We start from the raw sequence: 20,374 nt of genomic DNA, 5'->3' as shown, positions 1-20,374 counted from the left end.
TCATTTTACAATTAAGAAAAGACATTCAAAGAGATAAGATATATTTTCCAAAGCCAAGTAATTGGACCTCAGCGGTGTTGATTCACATAATATGGTCACTTTTTAAAAAACAACTTAGTGTCCTCATTTGAGTGCATGGATATTTCCAAATCACTGGGGCCTTCCCTCTCCATTCTTTCCATTACTTTGTTTTTGTCCAGGGGCTAGATCCACGTGAAGAAAATATTGCATTCTTCTCTATCAGCCTCATCTGAGCCCTGTCAGCTGCCATTTTTTGAGGAGGACATCTGAATTCTCCTTTCCCAGCAAAGGTAATACTTCTAAAAATGTGCTTGAGGCTACAAACTTGGTATATAATTTTGGCATTAAACTCATACCTCCTCCCTCCACAAAACACATGAATAAATGATGCTTCTAATTTAAAGTGGAATAACTTTTATACCATGCTGACTAAGGAAAAAATCCCACGAAATGTGAATAATGTTGGTCTTGGCCAAATAAAAACAGTAACAATCTAGGATAAAAGCAGACAGGCAAATTCTAATAGGGCATATGTCCATTCATTTAGAAAAACATAGCTTCTCTTTCACAGAGCTACTGAAGGAGAACCCATATTGAAAGATGTGATTATTGTTTTAGCTGAGATTCATAAAGAGACTGAACAGCTGCACACTTTATTAGATCTAATCTAAATACCTGCTACTTGTGTTTTGTGCTGGGAGATATTTATGTTATCAATTCAAGTTTATACTAACCATCAGGAAGAATACTCCCTGTAGCTCTGCTGACTCAAAATAATGACTTGTAAGGGCGCTCTAATGACAGAACAAGGGGCAATTATAGACACAGCGTGAGCCTTGGAAAAACTGTGTGATGTATTTTGTGCACTTGATTGACCTCATGTTCAAGTTCATTTGTGCCTCACTGTTGTAGATAAGGCCTATGCCTCAGGGTATATGCCTTGTTAATTTCAATATAAGAAGACAGAATGGATTAGATCAGATGGCTCAAACAAAAAAACAAAGCTGCACCAGCGCTTGACGGAAAAGTGATGACACATTGGGGTCTACCAGAAGGAACCATCAAATATCTTTCAGGGAAGAATGAGAAGTTAGAATAATCAATATGGAGTGTTAATTCATTTCAACTCTTGAGATAACTAAAACAATGTACATCTCCTTATGTCTTTATGTGATTATGGTGACTTCTTGGGGAGGACTTGGAATTCATCATAAAATAAGAGAGGGATAGGAAAACGAAAAGAAAACAAGAACTTACTATAAAATAAAGTTACTGTGAGCTATCCATAGATTACATTGCTTTAGTGTAAAACTATTCGGCAGTCTCTGTGCATGTCACTTTGAAATACATACCTGCTGTGCTGTAAATCACTGAATGAGGAAAGGGGAGAAAGATTTTCTGATGGGCTGTTTATAATCCCAATTCTATACATGTTTACTTAAAGATGGGGGGGTGGATAAAACAAGGGGAGTGTAGGAGTGAAATTATTGTTTATTTATTTTCACCAATGTTAGTGTTTACCAAAAAGGAACAAATTCTCGTTTTGTTGTGTACAAAATTACAGAGGGAGCTCAAGCACGTAACAATATTGCAGACTGCCTTGAAAATAACGTGGAATAACTGGTACTTATGCAATTCCTCAGAAATATAGCTTTGATTCTAAATTGGCTGCAAAGAGGTGTTCCAAAATAGTAATTTCATCAGTCTTGGCTGTTTGCTAATAGTACCATCTAGTCAACTCTGCCTGCATTTCCAAATTGGTTGTTAGAAAAACCTACAACAGTCTTGGTAAAAACTTGCAATCAATGTTTTCTAAATGATACTGGAAACCACATCTTTGGTCTCCTATTGTTATCCACGCAATCTTTGAGAAAGGGCATAATTAATATGTAATTTTGAATGAAGAAATTTCTTACCCAAAATATACAAATGAAGTGCCAACCTAGCAAAGTATGGAGGCAAACAATGCCAAGTGATTAAAAATTGGAATATGGGAATCTATTCTGTGTTTATCTGGCCTGAAAAATTTAGGCTGGAAACGGGTCATAACTGAAGCTGTATGAATGTAAGAGCTATTATAGGAACAGACAAGATTCTGATGTTTTCTACACCTATTTTTGCTTCAGATATTAGGGTAAGAGTAGGATATATATGCTCAAACACCCATTGCCTTTTAAAAAATTGATTTGCAATAATCTGAATTTTAAAAAAATTTAATCAAGATGTCAGACAAAATACACTGATTTTAAGCAGTATGTAGAAAATAATTATATATGGATTTTCAGATTTCTATGAGAAAATAGATATCTGATGGAAAGTTCTTGCTTTAGGGAAGATGTTTCCTGTCCACTAAAGCAATATGCTTGGTGTAAAAAAAAAAAAAAAAAAAAAAAAAAAAAAAAAGTCTATGATTTGGACTTTTTTTTTTAAGTAGAGATGGGGTTTCACCATGTTGGCCAGGCTGGTGTCAAACTCCTGACCTCAGGTGATCCGCCCACCTTGGCCCCCCAAAGTACTGTGATTACAGGTGTGAGCCACCAGGACCGGCTTCAATTTGGACATATTTTGGCTAGAAAGTATCTATTCATCTTTTGTCCAGTAAAGTAATTTTCCTCTGGAAAACACCTACCAACTTTCATTTCATGCATTTAGGGAGGCTCATGATTCAATCCCTGGCAATGATGTAAGTTTGGCTAATCAGACCTTCTCATTTTTCCTGGCTATAGTAATTTCAAACAGAGCATCTGATACAGTTAAGAGCCATGGGAGAGTGCCACCCTGAAAATTTTCTGCAATTACTGAGAAAAGCACTGGGTTTGAACCTGGAAGTATTTGGCCTAGAGCTATTGGCAGCCATTCTAACATTAAATGGGGCCTGAGAATGACTCCATCAAAATAAAAGATAGCTCCACAAGATAAAGTGAAAATAAATTCTGATGCATTTATTTAGTTATTAAATCATTCATTCAACAAATGTTTATTAAACATTTACTAGGGACCAGGACATGTGTAGTGGGGACAATGGTAATATAAATTTTTAAATAATTTCAGAGTGATATGAGAATGTAAAACTAATAAGGCAAAACATACTAAGAAGGACTAGGTAGGTTTTCTATATAGTCAAAAGCATGGGGCAGCAAACTACATCAGATGGACTAAATGTAGTTTGTACATTTTGAAAGCATTGTTACAAGGGAGAGAGGAGGCAGACTATGCCACAGACACCATATGTGGCTATCAATGCCGAAAATCCTTACTATCTATCCCTTTATAGAAAAAAATTTACCAGTCTACCAAATAGTTGTCAAGAATTTTTTCTGTTCCTCTACAAGCATGTCACTTATCTCATCAAAAAGTAGAGTTTATTTCACCACTGATTGGATCTTGGCTGAGCTTGTAAGCATTTTTGGCCAACAGAATAATGTAGAAGTAACATTCCGAGATTGCTAAGCCTAGATATTAAGAGGCATTGTAGTTTTTACTTTTACTCTTGCAAACCAGACCCCGTGCAAGGAAGTCTAGTCTATTATTCTAGAGAGAGAGTGTGAAAGATGTGAGACCATGTGGAAAGAAAAGCCGCATGAAAGAAAAGCATCATAGGCAGTACTAAGGCCCTAGACACATGAATGGAGCTGTATTTGGTCCTCTAGCCTCAGTCAAGGCTCTTCTGCCAATAGTTCCCATGTGAAGCAGAGATAAACCGTCCCTACTAAACCCCACCAAGAATTCCTGACTCACAGAATAATAAGCAATAAAATGATGGCTGCCTTAAGCCACTACATTTGGGTGTGCTTTGTTTTGCAGTAATAGAGAATTAAAACAGAAGTTGGTACCGGAATTAGAGTTGGCTGTGACAGAAACCTGAACGACAAAGCATCATCTTTGGGTTTGGGTGGCAGGCACAGGCTTGATGGAAGGTGAGGAACCTTTAAGGGAAGTTTGGAAAGCATTGAACAAAATCCTATAAAAGACCAGAGAAAGGATGATTTGTGTTACACAGTGGTGGTACATTTAACAACATTTGTGAATCTGGATAAGATTTTTAAGCATAAGATTAAAAGTGTCAATTGATTTCTTACAGTTATGTATGATCAGTTACAGAAGGGAAAGAGAGACTAAAGAAAAAGTGTTTCTTTTTCAAGCATAATTTAGAGAAAATATAGAGGACCCAGGATAATTTTGCCAGTGAGAAAAATGTTCTGAAAGTAAGAAATGGCCTCCAAGTAAAGATCAAATCAAGAATATGTCCATAAAACTCTTGGTTATGAATTCAGAGGATTTAAAGTGATGTGTATTATACCTCTGGCTGAGTTAAGACACATCTAAGAATCTTAAGACAATGCCTCACAGCAGTCTGACATTCCCAAAGTAGAGAGAGCTCTGTCTCAATATTTACATATATCTGAAAATATTCAGATAACTGAAAAGTTCCAGATATCTGAAAATCTCATAAATATTTTAAGAGAGCAACAGTGACAGAAGCACTACCAACTTGGATTAAATGAAACTGAGACAGTGGAATATAAAAAGAGGGCTCTGAGCCCCAGGTTTCTGTGAGTAGGAAGCAGGGACAGGAAGCAGCGAAACTGCAAACTCAGGAATTTTCAGTGCATGCAACCCTGGGTGAGGGAAAATAGTGGACTCGTGGACCCCTGTCAAGGAGTAGAAGAATCAGGCCCTAATGAAGAAACATTGTATTGAATAGGGGAAGTGGGTGATATGTCGAGAAGGATTTTAGAATTGCTACAGACCAAGAACTACTATGGGCCTTCCTTCTCCCATTGCTGACTGAGAGTGTCTATTGCAGTTAGCCTGTCCATGTCTCATCACTGTATGTTGGTGTGGGAAAAGGATAACCAGACTTTTAATTCTCAAATCTCAAGACCCAGAGAAACTAAATTCAAATAGGCTTATCCTCTCCAGAGCAGACATAGATCACAAAACCCTGAATTTTAAACCTGATGCTATATCTGACAAAGGTCTAATATCCAGCATCTGTAAGAAACTTACATTTACAAGAAAAAAACAACCTTGTTAGAAAGTAGGCAAAGGACATGAACAGACACTCTTCAGAAGAAGACATTTTTCACATGCAGCCAAGAAGCATATGAAAAAAAGCCTCACATTACTGATCGTTAGGGAAATGCAAATCAAAACCACAATGAGATACCATCTCATGCCAGTCAGAATGGCTATTACTAAAATGTCAAAAAATAACAGATCTGCTGAGGTTGTGGAGAAAAAGGAACACTTATACACTGTTGGTGGGAATGTAAATTAGTTCAACCATTGTGGAAAGCAATGTGGTGATTCCTCAAAAAGCTAAAAACAGAACTACCATCTGATTCAGCAATCCCATTACTAGGTGTATACCCAAAGAAATATAACTCATTCTATCATAAAGACACGTGAGCCTGTACGTTCACTGCAGCACTATTCACCATAGCAAAGACATGGAATCAAACTAAATGCCTATCAGAGGTAGGCCGGAAAAAAATAATGTGGTACATATATACACCATGGAATATTATGCAGTCATAAGAAAAAACAAAATCATGTCCTTTGCAGGAACCAGATGGAATTGGAGGGCATTATCCTTAGCAAACTAATGCAGGAATGAAAAACTATATATGGCATGTTCTCACTTATAAGTGGAAGGTAAATGGTGAGAATACATGAACACGTAGAGGGGGAAAATAGACACTGGGGCCTACCTGAGGTTGGAAGGTAGGAGGAAGAAGAGGATAAGGAAAAATAACTAATGGATACCAGCCCTAATACCTGGGTGACAAAATAATCTGTACAATAAAACCCCATGATGCAAGTTTACCAACGTAACAAACCTGTACATGTACTCCTGAATTTAAAATAAAAGTCTAAAAAATACCCTGATGCTATAATTGGACAAGATTTGAGGGTCTTCAGGGAGTGAATATATTTTGCACATGGGAACAAATGTGAAAGGACATAGCCAGAAGGTGGACTGCAGTAGATTGTCTGCAAAAATGGCCACCAACAATCATTCAACACACATATCACAACTCCTACCGAGAGGGAGTCTATTTTCCCACCACTTGAATCTATGGTGGTCTTGTGACTTGTTTTGAACAACAGAATAAGGTAGAAATGATGATGTGGTTTCGCTGTGACCCCACCCAAATCTCATCTTGAATTGAAGCTCCCATAATTCCCACATGTCACGGGAAGGACCTGGTGGGAGGTAATTGAATCACAGCAGCAGGTCTTTCCCACGCTGTTCTCGTGATAGTGAGTAAGTCTCACATGATCTGATGATTTTATAAAGGGGAGTTCCCCTACACAAACACTCTTGCCTACCGCCATGTAAGACACACCTTTGCTTATCCTTTGCCTTCTGCTATGATTGTGAGGCCTCCCCAGCCATGCTGAACTGTGAGTCCACTAACCCTCTTTCCTTTATAAATTACCCAGTCTCAGGTATGTTTTTATTAGCAGCGTGAGAACAGACTAATACAAATGCCATTCTGAGATTTCCAAACCTAGGCCTTTACGGCCTAGAGCTTTAGATTTTGCTCTTAGAAGGCAGCTACTATACAGAAAAGTCCAGACTATCCTGCTGGAGAGAGAGTCTGCAGGGAAAGAGAAGATCCACAGGATGAGAGATTGTGTGAGGAGAGAAGCCAAGTGGAGAAGAACTGAAGTGCCACACTGTAAGGTCAACACCAAAGCGTATTGGGGCCTCCAGCACTAGTTGATCCACTCAGCCAACACCACATAGAGTAGAGGCAAGCAGCCCACTGAATCTTTACTGAATTCCTGACACACAGAATCATAAACAGTAAGTCACCATTTTAAGCGACTAAGCTTTTGGTGGTTTGTTATAAAGCAAGAGATAAAAGGCAGGTGTCTATTTTATATAGAGTAGCCAAAGAAGCTCTGTCATAGTCAATGCAGGCTGCTATAACAAAACACAAGGGACTGGGTGGCTTAAAGAGCAAACATTTAAATCTCATGTTTCTGGAGGCTGGGAAATCCAAGAACAAGGTGCCAACAGGTTCAGCTCCTGGTGGAAGGTTCACTTCCTGATTCACAGCTGGCAGCCTTCTCGCTGGGTGCTCACACGGCCTTTCCTTGATGCATGTATGTGGAAAAAGAAAGATCTCTCTCTCTCTCTTTATCTCTTATAAGGGCACTAATGTAATTATAAAGATTCCCCCTTAAGATATAATCTAAATTTAATAACCTCCCAAAAGCTTTACCTCCAAATATCATCACTTTGGGGGCTTTAGCATATGCATTTTGGGGGAACACAAGCATTGAACTCATAACAAGTACTCTCTAAGGAAGTGGCATCTGAACAGAGATTATAATGCTATGGATGAGGAAACTATGTTCAAACTGAACATTCCAGGCAAACAAACATAGCTGTGAGGCTTAATTGACTTAATGTATTCTAGAAACTTTGAGAAGTTTGCTGAAGCTGAACTGGCATGGATCAGATGAGGAATGGAAAGACATGAGGTCAGTGAATACAAAGAAATCAGGTACTGTAGGAACTTTTAGTATAAAGAAAAGGAATTTTAATTTTATTCTAAGAATGTGTTCCTGAATCAAGCTCACTACTTTAGAAAGTTTAAGTTTTATAAAACAATAAATTCTTTTTGTTTGTCTCTCTTGTTTGCATCTGAAAAAATCCCTATCTAACTAAACAATGAGATTCACTAAGATAATTAATTGAAAAGTAATAATATTTTAACACCTTACCTTGAATTTTTAGAATAATATTACTTTAAATATAAGGGTAAAGGTCAAGATAATATTTATCCAAATATCTAAGTCCTGCACAAAAATGGGATCCCCTGAAAGGTAGAATACACTAGTGGTTTCCAGTGTATTTAGTTTTGGTAGATTATCTACACACAAACAAACACACACTACATATATATTATGTATGTATACAATATGTATACATAATATATATACATGTACACATAATATATATGTATACAATATGTATATGATATATACACATATATAATATATATCTATATATGTAGTATGTGCGTATTATATATAATACATATATACATATATATATAGCGTGTATGATTTCACAGTTTATTTTAATTAAATATTTAAGAAGTATTTATATTATATTAGTTTCCTATTTCTGCTGTAACAAATTGCCACACAGTTGGTGGCTTGAAACAAAAAATTTATCCTCTCATAGCTCTGGAAGCCAAAAGTCCAAAATCACAGTGTCAACTAGGCAGTGTGCTCCCTTCAAAGATTTCAGCAAGACAAATTTTCTTGTCTCTTCCAGATTCTGGTGGCCCCAGGCATTCCTTGTGGCTTTTATTACTCCAATCTCTTCCCCCATCCAAATTGCTTTCCCTTATTTTTTGACCCTTATATGAATATTTGTCATTGGATTTAGGACCCAACCAATTAATACATGATGATTTCATCTCAAGATCCTTAACTTAATTACATCCAAAATAACCTTTTCCCAAACAAGGTCACATTCACAGGTTATCAGGGATTAGAACTTGGACATATTTTTTAGCTGGCTGGAGGCAGGTTAGCATTCAACCCCCTACAATACTAAAAACACATTTTTAAATCAAAGGAAAGAAGTAAAACATTGTGAAATGGCTGAAGCACCATTTCAAGGAACCAAGTTTGAGAGTCAATACATTAATTTCAAAAGCATATGTTACTTTATTTTTATTGTTCTGATTTCACAGAATAATAAACATTGAGTTTAAAAAGGACAAATATATAGAAGAAATCAGATAATACTTTTATGTGTTGCATATCCACAGCACTAGCCTATTTAAGACATTTGAAACCATTGAAAAACTGATTTTGAGAGTCCCAATACTTCATATAGCAACCTGCATCTCCACACATAAAAAATTTCTTATTTTCATCTTGCTTTCACTAGAGCCATCCTTACTCCATTTACAATGTGAATTACAATTTAGATTGCTGCCCTACGTGTCTGAAGGTGACTCAGTAGAGAATAGAAGAGGGGATCACTGTGATAGAGATGAGCTTGGTGATATGTGTCAAACAAACAAAAAGAACATCCTGTGAATCTTTTTCATGATTAAGTTACACATCTAAATTAAAAATAATGATAGAAAAAGCAGAGGTTAAAAATAACACTGACAAGTAGTATCATATGATTATGCGATTTAAATCTATATTTAATGGCAATTTTCATTTCTGACTATAAGTGTAAGTAATGGGTCTATACTCTGAAAGTGTATTTACACTCTTCAAGTGTAAATAATGGATCTAAACCCTGAAAACCTGTTTACACATCCCTTATATTGGAAAATTTTTAATTCTCATGTCTAAGAATATCTTTTTGGTCAGAATGATTTTTGTTTCAAGTGACGGAAAATGCGACTCAAATTGGATTTAGAAAAACAGGAATAACTCCAAATGCTATCCTTCCCCTCTCCCCGCACCCCACAACAGGCCCCGGTGTGTGATGTTCCCCTTCCTGTGTCCATGTGTTCTCATTGTTCAATTCCCACCTATGAGTGAGAACATGTGGTGTTTGGTTTTTTGTCCTTGCGATAGTTTGCTGAGAATGATGGTTTCCAGCTTCATCCATGTCCCTACAAAGGGCATGAACTCATCATTTTTTATGGCTGCATAGTATTCCATGGTGTATATGTGCCACATTTTCTTAATCCAGTTTATCATTGTTGGACATTTGGGTTGGTTCCAAGTCTTTGCTATTGTGAATAGTGCCACAATAAACATACATGTGCATAGCATTTGGAGATATACCTAATGTTAAATGACTGGATTTAACTGGTGTATATGACATGAGAAAAGAGTATAATTTCATTTTTCTGCATGTAGATACCCAGTTTTGCCAGCACCATTTCTCAAAGAGACTATCTTTTTCACATTGTGTGGTCTTGGCATGCTTGGCAAAGATCTTGTAAACTTACATGTGTTGGTTTATTTCTGGGCTTTCTGTTCTGTTCTGTTGGTCTATAGGTTTGTTTTTATTCTGGTGCCATGCCATTTTGATTACCATAGCTTTGTAATATATTTAAAATCAGATAGCATGAAACTAACTTTGTTTTTCTTTTTCAAAATTGTTTTGGTGATTCAGAGTGCCTTGAGAGTCCACATGAATTTTATGATAGTGTTTTTTTCTATTTCTGTTTAAAATGTGATTGGCATTTTGATAGGAATTGCATTTAATCTATAGATTTCTTTAAGTACAATGAATATTTGAACAATATTAAATACCACAATCCATGAACATAGGATATCTTCCCATTTATTTGTATCTTCTTCAATTTTTTTAAATAATGATTTTGTGGTTGCCAGTGTATGGATCTCTCACCTTTTTGGTTAAATTTATTCCTAAGTATATATTTTTTTCTATTCTATTGTAAATGGCATTGTTTTCTTGATTTCTTTTTTGTAGAGATCGATGTTAATTTTTGTATGATAATTTTGTACTCTACTACTTTACTGAATTAGTTGAATATGCCTATTTCTGATAGAAGAGTGCTGAGGTCTCCAAGTGTAATTGTGGATTTATTTATTTATTTCTTCTTCTTGCAGATCTGTAGTTTTTGCCTCACATACTTTGACACTCTGTTTTTACACACATACCTGTTAAGAATTGTTATACAGTTTTGGAGAAGTGGTTCCTTATTATTTTGTAATGCCTCTCTTTGTTAGCCTGGATAATTTTCCTTGTTTGCTCTTTTCTTGCTCTGAAGTTTGCTCTTTCAGAAATTAACATAGCTATTTCTGCTTTCTTTTGGTTATTGTTAGCAAGGCATCTCTTTCTCCATCCATTTACTCTTAATCTGTATGATTCTTTTTTTTTTTTTTTCTCTTGTTGCCCAGGCTGGAGTGCAATGGCGTGATCTCGGCTCACCGCAACCTCTGCCTCCTGGGTTCAAGTGATTCTCCTGCCTCAGCCTTCCTGAGTAGCTGGGATTACAGGCATGCGCCACCACGCCCAGCTAATTTTGTATTTTTAGTAGAGACGGGGTTTCTCCATGTTAGTCAGTCTGGTCTTGAACTCCTGACCTCAGATGATCTGCCCACCTCAGCCTCCCAAAGTGCTGGGATTACAGACATGAGCCACCGCGCCTCGCCTATCTATATGATTCTTTATATTTCAAATGAGTTTCTGGTAGACAATTCATAGTTAGGTCTTGTTTTTTTACCCATTCTGATGATTCTGACTTTTAATTGGTGTATTTGGGCCAAGGACATTTAAAGTAACTGTTAATATAGTTGGATTAACACCTACCATTCTTGTTACTTTTTTTATTCATTGCCCTTGTTCTTTCTTCCTATTTTTGTTTTTGACTCTCTCCCTACCTTTTGTGGTTTTAATTGAGCATTATACATATTTTTATTCTCTCCCCTTTCTTAGCATATTATACTTCTTTGTTTAATACATTTTTTGTCGTTGGCCTAGGGTGTGCAGTATTACAAAATTCATTAGCAACAAATCGAAGTTCAATTTCAAATAACACTATGCCATTTCAAGGGTAGTATGAGTACCTTAAAATTACAAAATAATTATTTCCTTTCATCTCATATCACTGCTGTAATGCATTTCACTTACATGTCAACACATGTAAATATGCAGAATGTGTGTGTATAATCAAATACATTGTTACATTATTTTGAATGAACAATTATCTCTTACATCACTTAAGAATAATAAAAATAAGTTTATTTTACCTTCACTATTCCTTTCTTGATTTTCTTCCATTCTATATGTAAAACCTAGTTTCTACATATATTACTTTCCTTCTCCCTAATAAACTTCTATTAATAATTCTCATAAGGCAGATTTATGGGCAAGAAGCTCCCTCAATTTTTATTCATCTGATAAAGTCCTTATTTCATTTTCACTTCTGAAAATAATTTTTCAGGGTACAGATTTCAGGATGGTGGGTTTTTTCTTTCAACATTTAAAATATTGCCCTCCACTCTCTTCTTGCTTGCACGGTTTCTAAGGAGAAATCAGATGTAATTCTTATCTTTGCTCCCCTAAAGGTAAGGTGTCCCTGATCACCAAACTCCGGCTTCCTTCAACAGTTTTTCTTTCTCTTTGATATTTTCAGTTTGAATATTATAGGCCTTAGTATCTTTTTTTGACAATTCTGTTCAGTGTTGTCTGAGTTTTCTGGATTGATGACAAATATTAATTTAGGGGAATTTTCAGTCATTATTGTTGTATATATTTCTTGTTTCTTTGTCTCTTTCTTCTCCTTATGATATTCCCCTTATGCATTTGTTACACCTTTTGTAGTTCTCCTACAGCGTTTGGGATATTCTATTATTTTTGTCTGTTTGTTTGTTTGCTTGCTTGCTTCGTTAGTTTTAGAAATTGGTATTGAAATATCCTCAGGCTCTGCAACTCTGTTTTGTTTTGTTTTGTTTTAAGGCAGAGTTTTGTTCTCATCACCTAGGCTGGAGTATAATGGCACAATCTCAGCTCACTGCAACTTCCGCCTCCTGGGTTCAACCAATTCTCTTGCCTCAGCCTCCCGAAGTAGCTGGGATTACAGGCGCCCACCACTACATCAAGCTATATTTTTGGTATTTTTATTTGAGATGGGGTGTCACGTCGGCCAGGCTGGTCTTGAACTCCTGACCTCAGGAGATCCACCCACCTCGGCCTTCCAAAGTGCTGGGATTACAAGCGTGAGCCACCATGCCCGGCCAGGCTCTGCAATTCTTTCTTCAGTCACGTCCAGTCTAAGTTCAACAAAGGCATTCTTCATTTATCTTACAGTGAATAATAAGTTCAACAAAGGCATTCTTCATTTATCTTACAGTGAAGCATTTCTTATTCTTTCTTAGAGTTTTTACTTTTCTGTTTATATTCCCCATCTGTTCTTACCTGCTCTCTACTTTATATGTTAGAGCCCTTAGCATATTAAATCACAGCTATTTTAAATTTCCAGACAGTAAACTCCAACATCCCTGCTATACCTGAGTCTGGTTGTAATTCAGTCTCTTCAAACTGTGTCTTTTGTCTTTTGGTATGTCTTGTGATTTTTTCTTGCTAGTCAAACATGATGCACTGGGTAAATTGAATTGCAGTAAAGTAGGCCTTTAGTAATGTGAATGTAATCTTTTTATTATTGGAGTGACTTGCCTCAATGTTTATGGCTGCTGACTGATCAGGGTGGTGGTTGCTGAATTTTGTGGTGGCTGTGGCAATTTCTTGAATTAAGGCAACAATGAAGTTTGTGATATTGATCAACTCTTTTTCACAGAAAAAAAATTCTCTGTAGTATGTGCTCTTATTTGATAGCATTTTACTCTCAGTAGAACTTTTTTCAAAACCGTAGTCAATCCTCTCAAACTGTGCTGCTGTTTTATCAACTAAGTTTGTATAACCATATAAATTCTTTGTTGTCATTTTAACAATGTTCACGGCATCTTCACCAGGAGTATTTTCTATCTCAAAAAAATCGCTTGCTTTCCTCATTCATAAGAAGCAATTCCTCATCTGTTTTACCATGAGATTGCAGCAATCAGTCACATCTTTGGGCTCCACTTCTAATTCTCCAGTTCTCGTGCTCTTTCCATCACAGCTGCAGTGACTTCCTCTATTGAAGTCTTGAACCCCTCAAAGCCATCCATGGAGATTGGAATCAGCTTCTTCCAAACTCCTATTAATGTTGATATTTTGACCTCCTCCCATGAATCATGAATGTTCTTAATGGCATTTAGAATGGGAAATTCTTTCCAGAAGGTTTTCAATTTACTTTGCCCAGATCTATCAGAAGAATCACTATCACAGCTATAGTCCTATTAAATGTATTTCTTTAATAGGACTTGAAAATCAGAATTACTCTTTTATCCCTGGGCTATAAAACAGATTGTGTTAGCAGCATAAAAACAACATTAAACTCTTTGTATATCTTCATCAGAGCTCTCAGGTAACTGGGTGCATTGTCAATGAACAGTAGTATTTTGAAAGGAATCTTTTTTTCTGAAAAAGCAGCTGTCAACTGTGGGTTTAAATTATTCAGCAAACCATGCTATAAACAGATGCACTATCATCCAGGCTTTGTTGTAGAGCACAGGCAGAGTAGATTTAGCATAATTCCTAAGGGCCCTAGGATTTTCAGCATGGTAAATGAGTACTGGCTTCAACTTAAAGTCACCAGCTCCATTAGCCCCAAACAAGACTTAATCTGTCCTTTTAAGCTTTGAAGCCAAGTATTAACTTTTCTTCTTTAACTACAGAAGTTCCAGATGGCATCTTCTTCCAATATAAGGTTGTTTCATGACATTGAAAATCTATTGTTTAGTGTAGCCACCTTCATCAATGATCTTAGCTAGGTCTTCTGGATAACTCGCTGCAGCTTCTCCAACAGCCCTTGTAGCCACATCTTGCACTTTTAGGTTATGAAGAACTTCCTCATCTCTCTCGGCTTCATAGAATTGAAGAGTTATCTTCTCTGAATTAGGCTTTGACTTAAGGGAATATTGTGGCAGATTTAATCTTTTATCCAGACCATAAAATTTTCTCTATCAGCTATCAGGCTGTTTTGCTTTCTTATTGTTCATGTGTACACTAGAGTACAACTTTTAACTTCCTTTAATAACTTTTCCTTTGGTTTCACAGTTTGGCTGTTTGGTGCAAGAGACCTAGCTTCCAGCCTATCTCAGCTTTCAACATGCCTTCTTCACCAAGCTTAATCATTTCTAGCTTTTGATTTACATGAAAGATGTGAAACTCTTCCTTTTATTTGAACACTTAGAAGCCATTGTATGGTTATTAATTGACCTAATTTTTATATTCTGTGTCTCAGAGAATAGAGAGCCCTGAGGAGAGGGAGAGAGCTGATGAACAGCTGATCTATAGAGCAGTCAGAACACACACAACATTTATCAATTAAGTTCGCTGTCATATGAATGCAGTTTGTTGCACCCCAAAACAATCACAATAGTAACATCAAAGGTCACTGATCACAGATAATCATAGCACATATAAAATAAGTTTGAAATATTGCAATAATCATCAAAATGTGACACTGAGACACCAAAATGAGCACATCCTGTTGGAATAATGGTGCTGAACAACTTGCTCACTGCAGTGTTGTCACAATCCCTCAGTTTTTTAAAAATGCAATGTCTGCAAAGTTCATTAGACTGAAGTGCAGTAAAATGAGATATGCCTGTAACAGAAAATTAAGGCAAACATTTGGATTATATTATGTATGCATACACAGATTAGTAAACCTTTTAGCTAGGTTTGTGCCTATGGCAACATGGACAATAATGGCAGTGCTTGTTCTGCTACTTTCTTTATCATGGATATGCCTTTGCATATGACAGCATTTTCTCATTTCTTCTACCAGTAATGTTTGTGTTGTTGCAGGTCCAGGATTTGCTGGTATGCTGTAAATTTATGACCTATCTCTGATGATAATCTAGTCTCTTACCCATGGAGAGAAACTTTAAGAGTTGCCAACCCTTTGTATGTCCTCTTCATCTGGGCAGAGCCTATTCGATCTCGGCTACAGATTACAGAAAGCCCAAATCAAATGATTTTATGCCAGAAAGGAATTTATTAGCTCTTCTGAATCGAAGGATCAGAGCAGTAGAGCTCACTTCAGATAGAGATTGATGTTACAATGACACTCTTCTGACCCTGGCTCTGCTCTCTTCTGTGTGCTAGCTTTGTTCTTAGACAGCTCTTCTTTTGTGTTTCTATGATAAGTGAATCCAATCCAGATCTTCTCTTCTAAACTATAAGTCCACAGGAAAGAATGAGAGATGCTTTCCAGAATTTTCAGAAAGTTTTCGTTGTATCACTAGTTCTAAATGATTCTAATTAGGTCAGGGACTCACCTCTGATTTAATCACTGTGCATAACTAAGGCTCGGGTCATATGATTCACTAGTGAATAAAGAATGAAGTTGACTCTCCTGGAAACCCTCAGAAGAGAGCTGGTGATGGTGGGTGGCTCAGAGGAGAATTGAGACAGTTAGTAGAAGGTGGTTGAATAGACATCAGGCAGCCAAATCAACATGCTGTGTACTCTGGAAAACTGGAGCTAATTTGTGGTTATCTACATCATCTGGTCTTTGATGAACAACTCAAATGTACATTTAATTAGTTTGTAATTGTTTTCTTTTTCATCAGATCATATTTACATAATTAGAGTATCAGAATTTTAGTACTTATTCTGTACTTCATTTACTTTGGATGATTTTTCACCTTTAGTCAAAATGTTGTACTCATGGTATCACAATTAATTTAGTTACTGTAGAGGAGACTTTGATACCATGAGCTGAAGATTATAACTACAGGCGAAAAGTGAATTGTAGAAACAAAAAAGAAAGAGAAAGGAAGAGAAAAGACTCTGTCTTCATGAAAATGCCCCTCCCATGTACCCTTTGTAATGACTGGTATTTTAAAAGAAAATGTTTAACGTGGCTTGTGATTTATTGGTACCTTTGTAATGACTGATATTTTAAAAGTAAGTGTTAAATGTGGCTTGTGATTTATTGGTACCATTGTTTTTAAACACACACACACACACACACACGCACACACACACTTTTCTTCATTTTCCCCTAGTATATGTACTGGACATTATAATAATAATATTGTATAAATGATTAATTGCCATGAATTTCACTTGTATTACTATTATTTTGAATACAAGTTAATAAATATGAAGTCAGTCTATATGTGCACAATTGCCTGTATTAAATAGATTACAAGATAGGTGAAATCAGAAGTAAATTTGACAGGACATGTAGTTCATAAGAAATAACTATTGTATAATAGGTGGTATTCACAGGCAAGACATACAGACATATTGTAAAAGTCAATAATTCTGATGGAACAGGTAGGGAAAAATAATATAAATCAAAAGTGTTCTCATATTTGATGTCACTTGCATAGTTATACATTACAAGAATGATGGAGTATAATAGAATGAAACAAGAAAAAACACATCTGACAAACGAAGTTTTGCATAGGGCTCATTAGTGTCAAATAAATATTCGATATTCACTTCCTACACATGAATCTTAAAGGCTCTGGAGGCCTGACTCTCACAGAAGTGTAATTTTGAATTAACAGGATATATAGAGCTCAGCGAAAGTATTTTAGTTCTCAGTCCCTGGGGCCAGATGAGGAAAAGAGGGAGATATACAGAGATGTCTGCAAGTATTGTTTCTCTTCTCATTCTAACCCAAGGAAAAAAAAGTAAAAATTGCCACGCATCTTGCTATAATCTGAATGTTTATGTCCTTTCCTTGCCAAATGTATATGTTGAAATCTTCACCACCAAGGTGTTAGGAGGTAGGGCCCTCGGGAAGTGATTGGCTCATGGGGCACAGCCCTCATAAATGGGATTAGTGTATTTATCAAAGAGGCCCAAGAGAAACCACTTGTCTGACTTCTACCATATGAGTTTAGAATAAGATGATGGCTGCCTATGAGGAAGCAGGCCCTCAACAGATACTTAATCTGCTGGCACCGGATCTTGGACTTTACAGCCCTCAGAGCTATAACACATTTCCATGGTTCACAAGGCCCCAGTCTATGGTATTCTTTTATAGCAGTTGAACAAAGACACATTCTCTGTAAGCCAATATACTATGTGCATTTTACACATTTGCGAGTTTCTAATAAATGTTAGGTACAATTTCCAATGTGACTTAATGTTTGAGTCCACAGTACACTGTAATCTCCACTAAGATCTCAGAATGATTATCTCGAATAACTCTCATTAATAAAACATTAGGTTGACCAAAGACAAAGAAAGAAAGGAAGAGGTGGCTTTAACTCTTGGGAGAAGTCTTCTTTAAATAACAAGAACAACAGTATGGTGTTATCTATTACCCATAAATAGGGTAATCATTTCAACTTTACAGGTTTGCTTACAGCAAATACTAAATCTAAACTTTGGGGAGAATTCTTTATCTACCTGAAATTGTGTGAAAAAAATATTTATGTGTGTGTGTATTTGTATTATTTTATGTGAATACCATCATTACTCATATTGTTACACTATTGTCTAACAGTGTAATAAACTAGCATATCAAATCTTGTATATCTTTAGATTTGTGATATTTTAATGTATTTTATGTATATATGCAGTAATTCACCATGTAACCCTCTACTTCCAGCTCAGAAACAAAAATTCATCATTTTACTTAACTATAGTAGTTCCTCATTATCTGTGGTTTTGCTTTCCATGGTGTCAGTTACCCAGTCAACTGCAGTCCAAAAATGAAAAATGTCAGAAATAAACAATGCATAAGTTATAAATTCTATGTCATTCTGCATAGCATGTTAAAACCTTACACCATCCCACTTCAACCTCCCCAGGATGTGAATCATCCCTTTGTCCAGCAAATCTATGCTGTAGATTCTCTCTGACTCCATTAGTCACTTAGTAGTCCTCTTGTTCATCAGGTTGACTGTAACAGTATCACAGTGCTTATGTTAAAGTAACCCTTATTTTCCTCAGTAATAGCCCCCAAGTGGAAAAGTAGTAATGCTGGCATGTTGTTATAGTTGTTTTATTTCATTATGAGTTATTGCTGTTAATCTCCTATTGTGCCAAACGTATAAACTTTATCATAGGTATGTTTGTATAGGAAAAAAAACACACTATATACAGGGTTTGGTACTATCCATAGTTTCAGGAATTCACTGGGTGTCTTGGAATATATCTCCTGCTGATATGCAGGAGATACTGTATGCTTTCAAAAAATTTCCCAAATCTCTGACTTTCTGAGTGTCAGTTACAGAATTGGAGCAGAGGATTTCCAGGAAGCATTTTGCTTTACCTCAACACCCAAGATATTATTTTCACTATGCCTAAAATATCTTATCCTGTTAGAAGGAGAAGGAAAAAAAGAAAACTTTTCCATTTAATTGCTTGTTTGATTTGTATCAAACAAGCAATTTGATCTGCTTTAGTTTTGTTGCTGATGCCAAGCATAGTTAGAAGAGACGGAAGGTGACAGATAACAGAATAGTTGCTTCTGTGTGGCTTACACATGCAAAGCAAAGCATCGTTATTGATATCCTTTTTAAAGAGTTCACTGAGGTGCAGCTCACAGTTGTGGAATGGAAAACAGAAATCCCTTTGAAAATAAGAGATAGAATTCAAGGTCAGTCTCCCATAAGCCAGTAGTCCCTATACTCTTACCTTTTTTGGAAATGGTAAATCATTTATCTGGGTTTGTTCACTGGATGCTGATGGTATCACACCTTATCACTCTCTAAAGAAAAACTTGGCTAGCATAGTTAAAACAACAATTTATCTTCTCTTTTCCCATAAGCTCATTTGAACCCCAAAATATCTCACTGGGAAAAAACATTTACAAGTTGCAATGCTTTTAATAGAAATTAAAACTTTCTTATATCTGTCATTCAAAGTTAAGTTATACTGGGCATATTATATCTTAGATGAGCTCACTGTGCCTACTACATTATAAATTTTAGAAAATATTCACAGCATTCAGGACAAGAGGAGAATTATTGTATTGTTTCTACATGGGTGGCAACATGTTCTTCTTGGTCATCTTTTCTCTATGTCATACTGGATTTCTCTAGAGAGAAAACACTTATGATGAATTGCTGAGTCCATCATGTTACCATTGCACAAGATGCTTAAGCCAGAAGCGCTCAAATTTCAGCTCCACCCAAGTTTCTGATTCAGTAGTGTTGACAAAAAGAGTCAAACTTGGTAAAATATTTGAAGAGATTTTTTTGAGCCAAATATGAGTGACCAATGGTCTGTGACACAGCCCTCAAGAGACCTGGAGAACAGATGCCTAAGGCGGTCAGGCCACAACCTGTTTTTATACATTTTACAGAAACATAAGATATCAATCAGTATATGCAAGATGTACATTGGTTAAGTCTGAAAAGGCAGGACAACTGGAAAGGGAAGGGGCCTTCCAGGTCATAGACAGATTCAAAGATTTTCTGATTGGCAATTGGTTGAAAGAGTTATCAATAGAAGAAATTTTGGGTTACAATAAGGGGCCGTGGAGACCAATGTTTTCTCATGCAGATGAAGCCTTCAGGTAGCAGGCTTCAGAGAGAATAGATTGTAAATGTTTCTTATCAGACTTAAAGAGTCTGCCCTATCATGAATTTCAAAAGGGAAAAGGGTATATTTAGGCATGTCTGACTCCCGCTTCCCAACATGGCCTGAACTAGTTTTTCAGGCTAATGTTGGAAAGCCCTTGGTCAGAAGGAGGGGTCCATTGAGACGGTTGAGGGGGTTAGAATTTTTTTTTTTTTTTTTTGGTTTAAAGGCGGTTTGGTATGAGGGATGAGAAATTTTACTTTTAACAATGTTTTATGT

At 36.3% G+C, this 20,374-nt stretch overlaps 1 annotated feature.

Moving 5' to 3' along the window:
• Positions 19,819 to 20,374: an enhancer, noted in NCBI's record as "NANOG hESC enhancer chr5:163319797-163320352 (GRCh37/hg19 assembly coordinates)". NCBI's record gives its function as "activates a minimal SCP1, AML or CMV promoter by ChIP-STARR-seq in primed H9 embryonic stem cells {active_cell/tissue: H9 hESC(primed)}" and the evidence as "EXISTENCE:reporter gene assay evidence [ECO:0000049][PMID:30033119]".

The sequence above is a fragment of the Homo sapiens genome, chromosome 5, assembly GCF_000001405.40.
Source record: "Homo sapiens chromosome 5, GRCh38.p14 Primary Assembly".
NCBI classification, from domain to species: Eukaryota; Metazoa; Chordata; class Mammalia; order Primates; family Hominidae; genus Homo; species Homo sapiens.
This window is presented reverse-complemented; position numbering and strand designations above follow the sequence as displayed.